This window comes from Homo sapiens, chromosome 4, assembly GCF_000001405.40.
Source record: "Homo sapiens chromosome 4, GRCh38.p14 Primary Assembly".
NCBI lineage: Eukaryota > Metazoa > Chordata > Mammalia > Primates > Hominidae > Homo > Homo sapiens.
In genome coordinates, this window is record NC_000004.12 from 39,818,789 (window position 1) to 39,831,223 (window position 12,435).

At 42.6% G+C, this 12,435-nt stretch overlaps 1 protein-coding gene across 5 annotated transcripts in view, besides 1 other annotated feature; it reads right to left on the reverse strand.

The window, feature by feature from the left end:
• Positions 1,411–1,948: an enhancer, noted in NCBI's record as "OCT4-NANOG hESC enhancer chr4:39821819-39822356 (GRCh37/hg19 assembly coordinates)". NCBI's record gives its function as "activates a minimal SCP1, AML or CMV promoter by ChIP-STARR-seq in naive H9 embryonic stem cells {active_cell/tissue: H9 hESC(naive)}" and the evidence as "EXISTENCE:reporter gene assay evidence [ECO:0000049][PMID:30033119]".
• The window catches only part of PDS5A (PDS5 cohesin associated factor A), a 155,049-nt gene continuing 146,688 nt past the window's right edge, over positions 4,075–12,435 (reverse strand). For all 5 annotated transcript variants that reach the window (XR_001741185.2, XR_001741188.2, NM_001100399.2 and 2 more), the window contains one exon: positions 4,075–6,700. Coding sequence is in view for 3 of the 5 variants with exons in the window: in NM_001100399.2 (NP_001093869.1) it covers positions 6,697–6,700 (4 nt within the window). In the remaining 2 variants the exon portion in view is untranslated. The remainder of the gene's footprint in view (positions 6,701–12,435) is intronic.

Consider the following 12,435-nt stretch of genomic DNA (forward strand, 5'->3'; position numbering starts at 1 on the left):
ACAGCTTCCTTTCAGTCCCTGCGGTTGACCTTCCTCTTGGAGGGGACATGCCAGATGCATCCAGAAGGCTAAACTGCCAGGGTTTTCTTGGGGTAGGGGTTGGGGGGCCACCAGGGTGGAGCTCTTCAAAAAGGCTCTGAAAAATGGGTGCTTCGCGGGCTGCCTTGCTTTGGAGAAGTCCACTAAGCTCCTAAGGTGGCACAAAATTTGTCCAAAGGAGCCACAGGAATTACTGACACACAGAATTTGTGCTTTGAGTGGGGCGTGTCCCCTGTCCCTCAGGACTACAGTGGATAGAGAGGTTTCAGGGCTGGGACCAGCTCTTCCCCAGAGCAGGGAAGTTTAAGGCCCAGGGAGGTTTAAGGAGTGTTGGGATTCGCTGAAGTGGTGGCCTTCTTGTCTTTCCCCAGCCCTCAGCCTGGAGAGCCACCTCCAGCTTCAGGCCCAGCTCCTTGTGCCCTGAGGTAGGGCAGTTTGCTCAGGCCAGTCACTTCTTCTTTTTTTTTTTTTTTTTGAAACGGAGTTTTACTCTTGTTGCCCAGGCTGGAGTGCGGTGAGCGCGATCTTGACTCACCACAACCTCTGCCTCCCGGGTTCAAGCGATTCTCCTCTCAGCCTCCCAAGTAGCTGGGATTACAGGCATGTGCCAGCACATCTGGCTAATTTTGTATTTTTGGTAGAGATGGTTTCTCCATGTTGGTCAGGCTGGTGTTGAACTCCTGACCTTAGGTGATCCGCCCACCTCGACCTCCTAAAGTGCTGGGATTACAGGCGTGAGCCACTGCGCCTGGCCCAGTCACTTCTTTAGACACCTACATGCTCATAACAGTTCTCAGAATTGCACTTCAGTAGAAAAGGTGAGGATTTTCTGCTTCTACGGCATCCATCAGGGTTCTGAAGTCCACACAAAATGTATCACCTGGAACAGTCGCAGCTGCCTGTGTTATGTTGCTAGTCCTTGTAAGGCACCAATCCTGGTGTTTTTAATGTCGGCTCCTGGCATCGTGCCTAGTCTCTACAGATTACAAATGCCTGAAATGATGAAAAATGGCGACTCCCTATTTTCTAGTTGGCTTTTGCAGATCCAGAATCAGCACTACGGTGGCTCCTTACATGTCTTACTGACTTCTAGTGGTTTTTTTTGTATTAGTCCATTCTCATGCTGCTATAAAGAACTCCCTGAAGCTGGGTGCAGTGGCTCATGGCTGTAATCCCAGCACTTTGGGAGGCTGAGGCGGGTGGATCACCTGAGGTCAGGAGTTCGAGACCAGCATGACCAATATGGTGAAACCCCGTCTCTACTAAAAATACTACTACTCAGGAGACTGAGGCAGGAGAATCGCTTGAACCCAGGAGGCGGAGGTTGCAGTGAGCTGAGATCGCACCATTGCACTCCAGCCTGGGCAACAAGAGCAAAACTCCGTCTCAAAAACAAAAAAACAAAACAAAACAAAAGAAAACAAAAGCCTGCCTGAGACTGGGTAATTTAGAAAGGAAAGGTTTAATTGACTCAGTTCCGGATGGCTGGGGAAGCCTCAGGAAACTTAATCATGGTGGAAGGGGAAAGGGAAGCAAGGCACTTCTTATACGGCAGCAGGGGAGAGCCAGAGCAAGGAAGGGCCACACCTTTTAAACCATCAGATCTCATGAGAACCACTATCAAGAGAACAGCATGGGGGAAACCGCCCCAGATTCAATCACCTCCCACTAGGTCCCTCCCTCGACATGTGGGGGATGGCAATTTGAGATGAGATTTGGGTGAGGACAAAGAGCCAAACCATGTCACTATTCAAGCTTCTTCAGGAAGAATGGATGTAGTGCTATTTACTAAAAATAACAGGTTTTATTCAGAATGACACGGTCCTTGCTCAAGAACAACAGGAGTAACCAGAGAATGAGGGGAGATAAGTTAGCAATCAGTATTGATAAAGAAACATTTGAGAAACACCCCAAAACTGAAGTACTGATCAGCAGCCTGGCCCAGGTTCCTTAGAAATGAGACCTGTATATGTTCCCGTTAGGCTTTTTTTTCTTTGACACAAGGTCTTGGTCACCCAGGCTGGAATGCAGTGGTGTGATCTCAGTTTACTGCAGCCTCTGCCTCCTGGACTCAAGCAATCGTCCCACCTCAGCCTCCCGAGAAGCTGGGAAAACAGGCACGCACCACCATGCCTGTCTTATTTTTTTAATTTTTTGGTAGAGATGGGTTGTATGTTGCCCTGCTAAGACTTTGAACTATGATACAATAGTGAAATAAATGAAGGTTATTACTCTCATGGGAATGAAAAGTTGAAGGTATGGTTTACAGCAGAAAGGCACTTGATTCTGCACTCTCATTTCCATCCTCCCTACCTTGCTGGCTTATAGCGAACTCCTTGTAGGAAATGCTGTCACCGTTACCTAAGCAGGCTACAAAGCTGCTTGTCAGAGCAGGACAGTTCATGTGAGTAGCAAAGACAAAAAAGTCTTGTCAGTGCAAGTATTGGGGGTGGAAGGTCAACCCATTATGGGTAAAATACAAAACTAGGCATGATAGCTTTTCCTTTTTTTTTTGAGACAGGGTCTCAGCCTGTCACTCAGGCTGGAGTGCAGTGGTGCAAAATGTACGTTTCAGGCCTTTATTTACTTATTTTGAGACGGAGTCTCGCTCTGTTGCCCAGGCTGGAGTGTAGTGGCACAATCTTGGCTCACTGCAACCTCCGCCTCCCTGGTTCAAGCGATTCTCCTGCCTCAGTCTCCCGCGAAGCTGGGACTACAGGCGTGCGCCAGTATGCCTGGCTAATTTTTTTTATCTTTAGTAGAGACAGGGTTTCACTATGTTGACGAGGCTGGTCTCAAACTCCTGACCTCAGGTGATCTGCCTGCCTCAGCCTCCCAAAGTGCTGGGATCACAGGTGTGAGCCACCGTGCCCAGCCTATTATTTTTGAGACAGTTTCATTCTTATTGCCCAGGCTGGAGTGCAATGGCGCAATCTCGGCTCACCACAACCTCCGCTTCCCAGGTTCAAGTGATTCTCCTGCCTCAGCCTCCCACGTAGCTGGGATTACAGGCATGCGCCACCAAGTCTGGCTAATTTTTTTGTATTTTTATTCAAGACGGGATTTCTCCATGTTGGTCAGGCTGGTCTCGAACTCCTGACCTCAGGTGATCCACCTGCCTCAGCCTCCCAAAGTGCTGGGATTACAGCCATGAGCCACCACGCCTGGCCTATTTATTTTTGAAACAGTTTTGCTCTGTTGCCCAGGCTAGAGTGCAGTGGTGTGATCTTGGCTCACTGCAACCGACGACTCCCAGGCTCAACGGATTCTCCCACCTCAGTCTCCTGAGTAACTGGGACTACAGGTGTGCACCACCACACTCGGCTGATTTTTGTATTTTCGGTAGAGACAGGGTTCACCATGTTGCCCAGGCCAGTCTTGAACTCTTTAGGTCAAGTGACCTACCTGCCTCGGCCACCCTCCCAAAGTGCTGGGATTAAAGGTGTGACTCACTGCGCCCAGCCATGATAGACTTTCTTACCTCTCGTTCTGGTCACCTCTTACTCCAGATACATTTATGTAATCTGCTTGCTCTCTTGAATTTGTTATGGAACTAAATATGTGAGTGCAGAACTTGCAATGAATGGATGAACCATAGACTAATATGAATCAAAGGCTGCTATTAAATTCTTAGGTTAAAAAAATAACTTCTTGGCCAGGTCTGGTGGCTCAGGCCTGTAATCCCAGCACTTTTCTAGGAGCCTGGGGCAGGAGGATTGCTACAGTGAGCCATGATCATGTCATTGCACTCCAGCCTGGGCAACAGGGTAAGATCTCATTTCAAAAAAAAAGCCACCCCCTAAAACAAACCTCGTTTGGAAATTCCGAATGTGCCTCAGAATTTATCATCCACTATGTTCTTCCTTAGCCACTGTAAGCTACCTCAGAGTACCCAGCCAGGAAGTTTGAAGGTGGCTTTTGATTTCTAATTAGGATATTCAGACTCCAGCATCTCAACAGAAAATATGCAGAGACATTTTATCAACTTGTGACATACCAGGGGTACATGAATATTCAGGGCTCCACACTACTATATAATGCTGCATTTCTTGGTTTTATTTGAAACAGTGCATATTTTTAGCATTTTATGGTAGGATTTTACACTTGTCATTTACACAAATTACAAGGTTCTGCTTCAAGTTTTTAAAAAAAATTTAAAAATTCAGCCCATGTGCAGCACAAGAATATGCAAAACTACTTTACATTATACACACTTTTTATCAAAGGAGATACAAAATTCTGGCTTGTTGTTTTAGACAAATACAAGAAGCTTCAAACTAGACACAAAGGGTTAACATTAATTCTCAAATATAAGTCTGCACTTTTGTGTTGTAGTTCTCTGAGATGTGAATACCAAATTCCTAAGGGATTTTAATGTTTTCCTTTGAAAAGGAAAACTAAAAAAATTCCCGTAAACAAGTCCCTCCCCATCAGCTTGGTCTTTCCACAACCCTACTCTTGCTTCCCTTAGTGCCAGACACTTGCATCATGTTACAAAATTGGGGTGGGCCACTTACATCATACAAGGAGCAAATCCTTTTAACTTCTCTCCTGCAAAAATCTAAACAGGAATATATTGATGCAGATGGTTCTGCTACATTTTATTTAATATGATGTAACACTTGGTAATCTAGTAAACTGTGATGCCGGGCAATTAATCAAAGGGAGGAAGAGACAAAGGTCCCTATCAATGCACTTTTTGTTGGTGACACACTGGAAACCTTAGGAATCAAGTTGTCTGATGCTAAGAGAACTTTAAACTCTCTCTAAATAGAACACACCTACTGATTGCTTGAGGGACTTCTCTGATACTTATGCATAGATACTCTTTTTCAGCATGTTGGAGGCAATATTTTATACTTTCTAAAGGGTTCTGAAGAGGCAATAAGGAAGAGTGGGGATTTTTCTGCCCCTGTAAAGGTATCATTTTCTATCATTGGTATCCATTGTTCCCTAAGCATCTTCTGATACCTAAATGTGTGTAAATGCATATTTAAAATAATTACCCATCTTTCAGTCAATACACAGCCAACTCTTGATTATCTATGAGAAACGTAAGTGACATTTACTCTCAAACTTCACTCTAACAGAATCATCCACCTTTGATACACTTGTTTGTTTTACATCCCATGTACACTACAGCCTATCAAGACGAAGTTATAACACAAATGTTGTTTCCTCTGACCCATGCTAGAAACGTGTAAGGAAATGGAGTGAGCACATTCTGCTAGGGCTTTGCGGATGACCCTACAGTGGACAGTGGGGGCAGGATAGAACTCTGGACATGAGAAAAGACAAATTTCATGTTCCTCCAGAATCAGGTCTTACATGCCTTCGTTATTTTGTTATCACAAAATTAAAAACCTGAGGCTTAGTCACTATTTTATATAGATAATGGAGAGTTGACTGTAATCATGTTATGACTTTAGCTCTTTAACATGAAAAAATTCACAAGAAAGCATATGATAAAAAGATTAAAAAGACTGCCATGACATCTAGAAGCATTTATTTTATGCAAAAAACTTAAATATGATTATGTGTACACATAAAGTGCACACATTACCTATGCTGAACAATGCCAAGAAACATAATATATTGATGCAACAGTTTTCTAAAATAAACATAAAAATGAGCCCAGACCATCAGACAAAAGCAAAACACTTATTTCCAAATAGCACAATGCTGAAAATTGATAGCAATCCTAAAACACCTCCAACTTTCCTTAAAAGCTGCCAAAGTCCAACTATTTTTTAAAAATTGATTTTTTTTACATTAATAAAAATCTGGTGACAAACATTATAAAACCAAATGCTGGACAGTCTTTACTCCTTTAAAATTCCAAATATTCCAACATAATCACAGGAGTAAAAACCATTTTAAAGTGATATGCTTTATGAAACAAACAACAATATGTACATTTATTGCAAATTATATTAAACTAAAATGAGGGGAAATCAAAATATGAACTGTTTACTACTTGCAAATCAATAATTTTAATTTTCTCACTCTGATAAAAATCAGAAAGCAACATTTATAAAATTGCTACCACATCACTTTTCATAGCAGGGAACCGAAATCTGTACATCTCATTTTTGCAGAAAAGTAGGCAGGCAGAAAGAATTATACATAAAAGTTTCCAAAAGGAAAAACAAAGAAATATTTAATCTGATCTCTTTTCTTTTAAAAAATTAATTCAGTAGACTTCTATTTTTTCCTGTGTAACATGGGAATTCCTGGCTCTAAAATGGATGAATTTTCAGTGTCAGTGTAAAGACATCTTGTTACTTTCTTTAAAATAAAAACTGCAGCGTGGAAATTAATGGTGTATTACGCATTTAAACTCCAGATAGGCAGGAACTGGAACCAAGTGTTAAGCAATTTGCTTAATTATTGACTTTTCGTAAGAAAAGTCTAGGGGAAGGGGGAGAACAGAGTTGCTTTTAGCCTCTCTCTCAAGAGTTTCTGCTGTACATTTCCATCAGAGGACTTGTGGTCATGTGAAAAGGAAGTAATAGTCTCTTTAGTTTTCAAGGCAGAGAGTGTGTGTTCTGAAGTGAGCTTCATTTTCTGTTCAGGGACATTTGTGAATCCAAGTTTTTGCAGAAGCTGGAGCCTGCTTCTGTTTGGCCTTCATTTTCTCCCTTTGCAAATGCATTTTTACCTTAGGGTTAAGAATAGAACGCAAAGTTAGAAAAGATGTGGAGAAGATATAAACCAAACGAAAATGATTTCATTTCCATAGTTGTTATCTAAAATCTTTTTTTTTTTTTTTAAACTTAAGCATCAGGATCTCACTCTGTCACTCAGGCTGAAGTACAGTGGCACGATCATGGCTCACTCAGCCCCAACTCCTGGGTTCAAGTGGTCCTCCAGGCTCAGCGTCCAGCCTGAGCCTCCCAAATAGCTAGAACTATAGGCGCACACCACCATGGCTGGCTAATTTTTAAATTATTTGTACAGACGGGATCTCATTATGTTGCCCAGGCTGGTCTTCAACTCCTGAGCTCAAGCGATCTGGGAAGCCTGCGCTTCTCAGATTCACTACTGGGATTACAGGCATGAGTCACTGTGCTTGGCATGTTATCTAAAATCCTTAAAAAGTTTTTTCATTTTTTCACCTGAAACTTGGTTTAAAGAGCCTTTCCCTAAACTATATAAAAACCAAACACCAATAAAGAAGTTTTTGTTTTCAATGACTTAGTGCTGCTATCCAATGCCCTATTTGCTTACAACATTAAAAGCTATTTATCATACTATGGCAAAATGAATTTATAAGCAGCAAAATAACTTCTGACTCATGAGCTGGGTAAACATAAACGTTTTAGCATACTAAAAACATCCCAACCAAACTGGCGTGTTTTTTTTTTTTTTTTAAACGCATTTCCCTAATAGGGAGGGAAATTCTGATCCCTGGAAGCACAGGAGAGTGGGACATGGCCTCTTTCTCACCTCCTCTCACCTACTCCTCTTTGGGAGAAGGAGGAACTCATCTAATAGATGAGATTAGGGAAAAGGAATGAGCATGTTGGGATTGACTTCATCAATATTTGTTCTTTTGCCCTGAGAAGTGCATTCTGGTTTGTCTGTGGCTGTTCAATTCAGTGGCAAGGCATTAGCAGCCCAACTTGCCTAATTCATTCCACATTTTTATTTATTTATTTATTTATTTATTTATTTGAGATGGAGTCTCGCTCTGTTGCCAGGCTGGAGTGCAGTGGTGTGATCTGGGCTCACTGCAAGCTCCACCTCCCGGGTTCAAGCGATACTCCTGTCTCAGCCTCCTGAGTAGCTGGGACTACAGGTGCGTGCCACCATGCCCAGCTCATTTTTTGTATTTTTAGTAGAGACGGTGTTTCACCATGTTGGTCAGGATGGTCTTGAACTCTAGACCTCGTGGTCTGCCTGCCTCGGCCTCCCAAAGTGCTGGGATTACAGGCATGAACCACCACGCCCGGCCCATTCTACATTTTTAATCAGCCTGATCAGTAGTAAGACTGTCTCCTTTTCCACAATTTTACACCTAAAAGAGAAAGAAAGATATATTCCCAAACTCCTTTACTACATACATATTTTATAAAGGTAACAATGCTAAAAGAGCTAAGTGATTATTACAATTCATACAGAGACTATTAATTTGTTATACTATTTGAAGCAATTTTAACAATATGCTATTAAAGAATTTTTTTTTTTTTGAGGCAGAGTCTTGCTCTGTTGCCCAGGCTGGAGTGCTTGGCATGATCTCGGCTCACCACAACCTCCACCTCCCAGGTTCAAGCGATTCTCCTGCCTCGGCCTCTTGAGTAGCTGGGACTATAGGTTGCGCCCCCACGCGCAGCTAATTTTTGTATTTTTAGTAGAGATGGGGTTTCACTATGTTGGCCAGGCTGGTCTTGAACTCCTGACCTAGTGATCAGCCTGCTTTGGCCTCCAAAGTGCTGAGATTACAGGCATGAACCACTGGACCCGGCCAAAGAATTATTTACAAGCTGCCTGCTACACCTTCAGGAAGCTTCCCTTTCCTAGCCCTGAGTCCTCTGTATTTCTTGGGCTGCTCTCACAGACTTCTGAAAGACCCAGGTCACTGGAAGAGCTCCTGGACTTGATTCTATGTACCAAGATGAACTGCCATCACTGCAAGCACTTGGCTTCTGAAAAATTTCATGTTATTTTGAGAAAAATTCACTTGTTACTAAAAAAAATTCATATTGAACTAATATATAGCTGTTTAACACATGAGGATACACATTTGAGGATATATACTTAGGGGTTAATTTTGAGATACGAACCCACATGATGGGAGGAAACCTTCTCATTATACAAATGAGCACAAAAACTCAGTCAATTCTTTGCTTTAAGAAAAACAAATTCTAAGATCCTTGAACACTCCCACACTAAGCATGCTAAACAAAACATGTTAATCCAACGACTAGAAACCCACAGTCTGTTATCCTACAGATATTCTCTTTAAATTCAAATTCCCCAGAAGTCACAAATTTGGGGTTATTTTTCCATTGATGTTTATTGACAAGCTCATCTTCAAGGAAGAATTTGGCCTTAAGTGTAAGCAAAACATACTCAACAATCAGCAAATCTATTCAGAACATATTTTCAATTCACAACACCGGGAACTGTTTGCCCTCTGAATGATAGCCTTAACACAAAGAGGAAAAACAAGTGAACTAAACTACTGAAATGATCATTCCTTCATCCGAAACTCAGAGACCCAACACTAATGTCCAGCTAATACTGTTGACTGTTTCCTGACCACACTGCAAATGGCTGATTTTTACTGGTTTTATTGGGTGAACTCAAGGAATTTTTGCAAAAGGAATAACAAGTCTAAATGCAGCCCAAAACATAAACAGGAATACTTACTGAAACCCACATACATGCAAATAGCTGAGGGAATACATTTACCACAAAAATCCGATCTAAAAATTCTAACGTTACCTTTACAAGTTAAAACCTTTAGCATCAGCTCCCAGCTAAAACTGAGGCCAGGAGAATTTTGCATATCTTCCTCTCTCTGTTTTGGTGGAATAAAGTATCCTTGAACCAGTAAATAAACCCTATAGGTAGGAATCAAGCTAAAAATAATCATTACTGACCTAATGTTTTGAGTAAAAACCTAGTAAGAGGAATTCTGCGAGGGTTAGCACTTGCCACATATTAGAAGTTATGGCTGTGGTATTAAAATGGCTCTAGAAGCCTCACACATCAGAAATCTACCTAAAAGAGCTGAAGATGAAATGAAGTTAACAAACCTAAAGTGTAAACTGTAGTTGGCATATACTAGGGCCTCAAAAATGGTTTTCACTAATTAATGATAATAAAATATGATAGTAAATACCAAGTAATACAACTGCACAAGCTTTCTGGAGGTGGTGCAAGTGTAAAGTACCACTCTGGGGTGGGATTCTGTACTCAGATCGACAAAAGAGCACCTATAGATGACTGGGGTGAGGTTAAGAGGTAAGCTCTTTTGAGATATTACTGCAGAGTTGTGAACAGAGCCGAAAATGATCATCTAGGAAGTGAAAAATAAAGCAAGTGAAAGGTGTGGAGAATCATGCAAGGAAAAATAAAAGACTGATAAATTGGGCACCTGGAGTTAGAATGCAGGGCCACAGAGAAGCACAAGGGTGCCAGGCCTTCTTTATCAAATAAAACCCAGGGCTGAACTTAGTGCAGCAATCCCGATCAGACTCCACAATGCAAGGCCCCTAAGGAGAGCTGATTCTATCACCCTGTAGCTCAGCGGTGTGTTTGATTGCTCTCAGGTTTGGCACCTCTATGTCTTCTCTTACCAGTTAGTTGGTTGAAACTGTAATGATATAAAACCTTAACAGGATGATCCTCACCAGGTCTCAGGAAAATGCAGGTGGAATGTCAAATCACTCACAGGGAATACTAGCAGTTAATGAGAGCTATGTTTAGAATCTTGTAGCAAGGTGGAAGCTGCAGTTCCACATGAAATAAAAATAGTTGGCACTTTCAGGATTTTGACCATTCAACTGAAGGGCAGTCAAAACATCAGCTGAGGCCGGGCATGGTGGCTCACACCTGTAATCCCAGCACTTTGGGAGGCCGAGGTGGGTGGATCACGAGGTCAGGAGATCAGGACCAGCCTGACCAATATGGTGAAACCTCATCTCTACAAAAACACAAAAATTAGCTGGTGTGGTGGCACACACCTGTAGTTCTAGCTACTCGGGAGGCTGAAGCAGAAAAATTGCTTTAATCCAGGAGGTGGAGGTCGCAGTGAGCCAAGACTGCGCCACTACACTCCAGCCTGGGTGACAGAGTGAGACTTCATCTCCACAAAAAAAAAAAAAAATTTCCGGCCAGGCGCGGTGGCTCACGCCTGTAATCCCGGCACTTTTGGAGGCCGAGGCGGGCGGATCACAAGGTCAGGAGATCAAGACCATCCTGGCTAACACGGTGAAACCCTGTCTCCACTAAAAATACAAAAAATTAGCCGGGCGTGGTGGTGGGTGCCTGTGGTCCCAGCTACTCAGAAGGCTGAGGCAGGAGAATGGCGTGAGCCCAGGAGGTGGAGCTTGCAAAGAGCTGAGATCGAGCCACTGTACTCCAGCCTGGGCGACAGACTGAGACTCCAACTCAAAAAAAAAAAAAAAAAAAAAAAAAAAAAAAAAAGAAATTTCCAAGCTACCGCCATGAGCAGTATCATGAGGCAGACAGACAATAAGTGATATGCTGGGATCTTAAGCCATGCCCTGTGTAGCACTAGCCAAGTGACCTGAGCAAGGTCCGTTCAGGTCTTCATTTCTTTATGCTCATATAGTGTGATACTTGCTTAATAATGGATGTTGGCAGGTCAGATATCTGCTCATAAAACACTTCCTACTGTCACTACTAATACAGATGCCAGGCACCTATCACTCAGGCTGGAGTACAGTGGCACTATCATGGCCCACTGGAGCTATGAACACTGAGGCTCAAGCAATCCTCCTGCCACAGCATCCCAAGTAGCTGGGACCACAGGTGAATACCACCATGCCGGGCTAATTTCTTTTTAAATTTTTTGTAGAGACAGGGTCTTGCTATAGTACCAAATAACATTTGAACTAATTTTTGTTAATTTTCATTTTTTTGAGACAGAGTATCACTCTGTTGCCCAGGATGGAGTGCACTGGCAAGATCTTGGCTCACTGCAACCTCCAACCTCCCAGGTTTAAGCAATTCTCCTGCCTCAGCCTCCTGAGTAGCTGAGATTACAGGTGTGTGCCACCACGCCCAGCTAATTTTGTATTTTTAGTAGAGATAGGGTTTCACCATGTTGGCCAGGCTGGTCTCAAACTCCTGACCTCAAGTGATCTGCCCACCTAGGCTTCCCAAAGTGCTGGGATTAAAGGCGTGAGCCACCATGCCCAGCCCATTTGAACTAATTTTCACCCCAGTCTTGTTCTTGGCATTGGGTGTTAGATTCAATTAAAGTATGCCACTTTCAAAAACATCTGATCTATCTCTCGGTTTTCCTCTCTAATCCTAAAATGCAAGGATTTTGTTTGCATGTACTACCAAAAGAGGTGAAAAAGATGAGTAGAATTGGTCTAATTTAACCCGTGATTATTTCAAATAAACTAGTGCTTTTACTTACAGTTCTGCCGGGCGCAATGGCTCACGCCTATAATCCCATTTATGTAAGGGATCAAAAGCTACATAGCCCTTTATACCTGGGTTTCCTCCACTTTTGGGAGGAAATGATAGTACTGGGGAGAATGCAGTACTTAGCCACATAGAGTTGTTTTTGTTTTTTGAGATGGAGTCTTGTTCTGTCATCCAGGCTGGAGTGCATGGTGTGATCTTGGTTCACTGCAACCTCCGCCTCCCAAGTTCAATTGCCTCCTGGCAATTCTTCTGCCTCAGCCTACT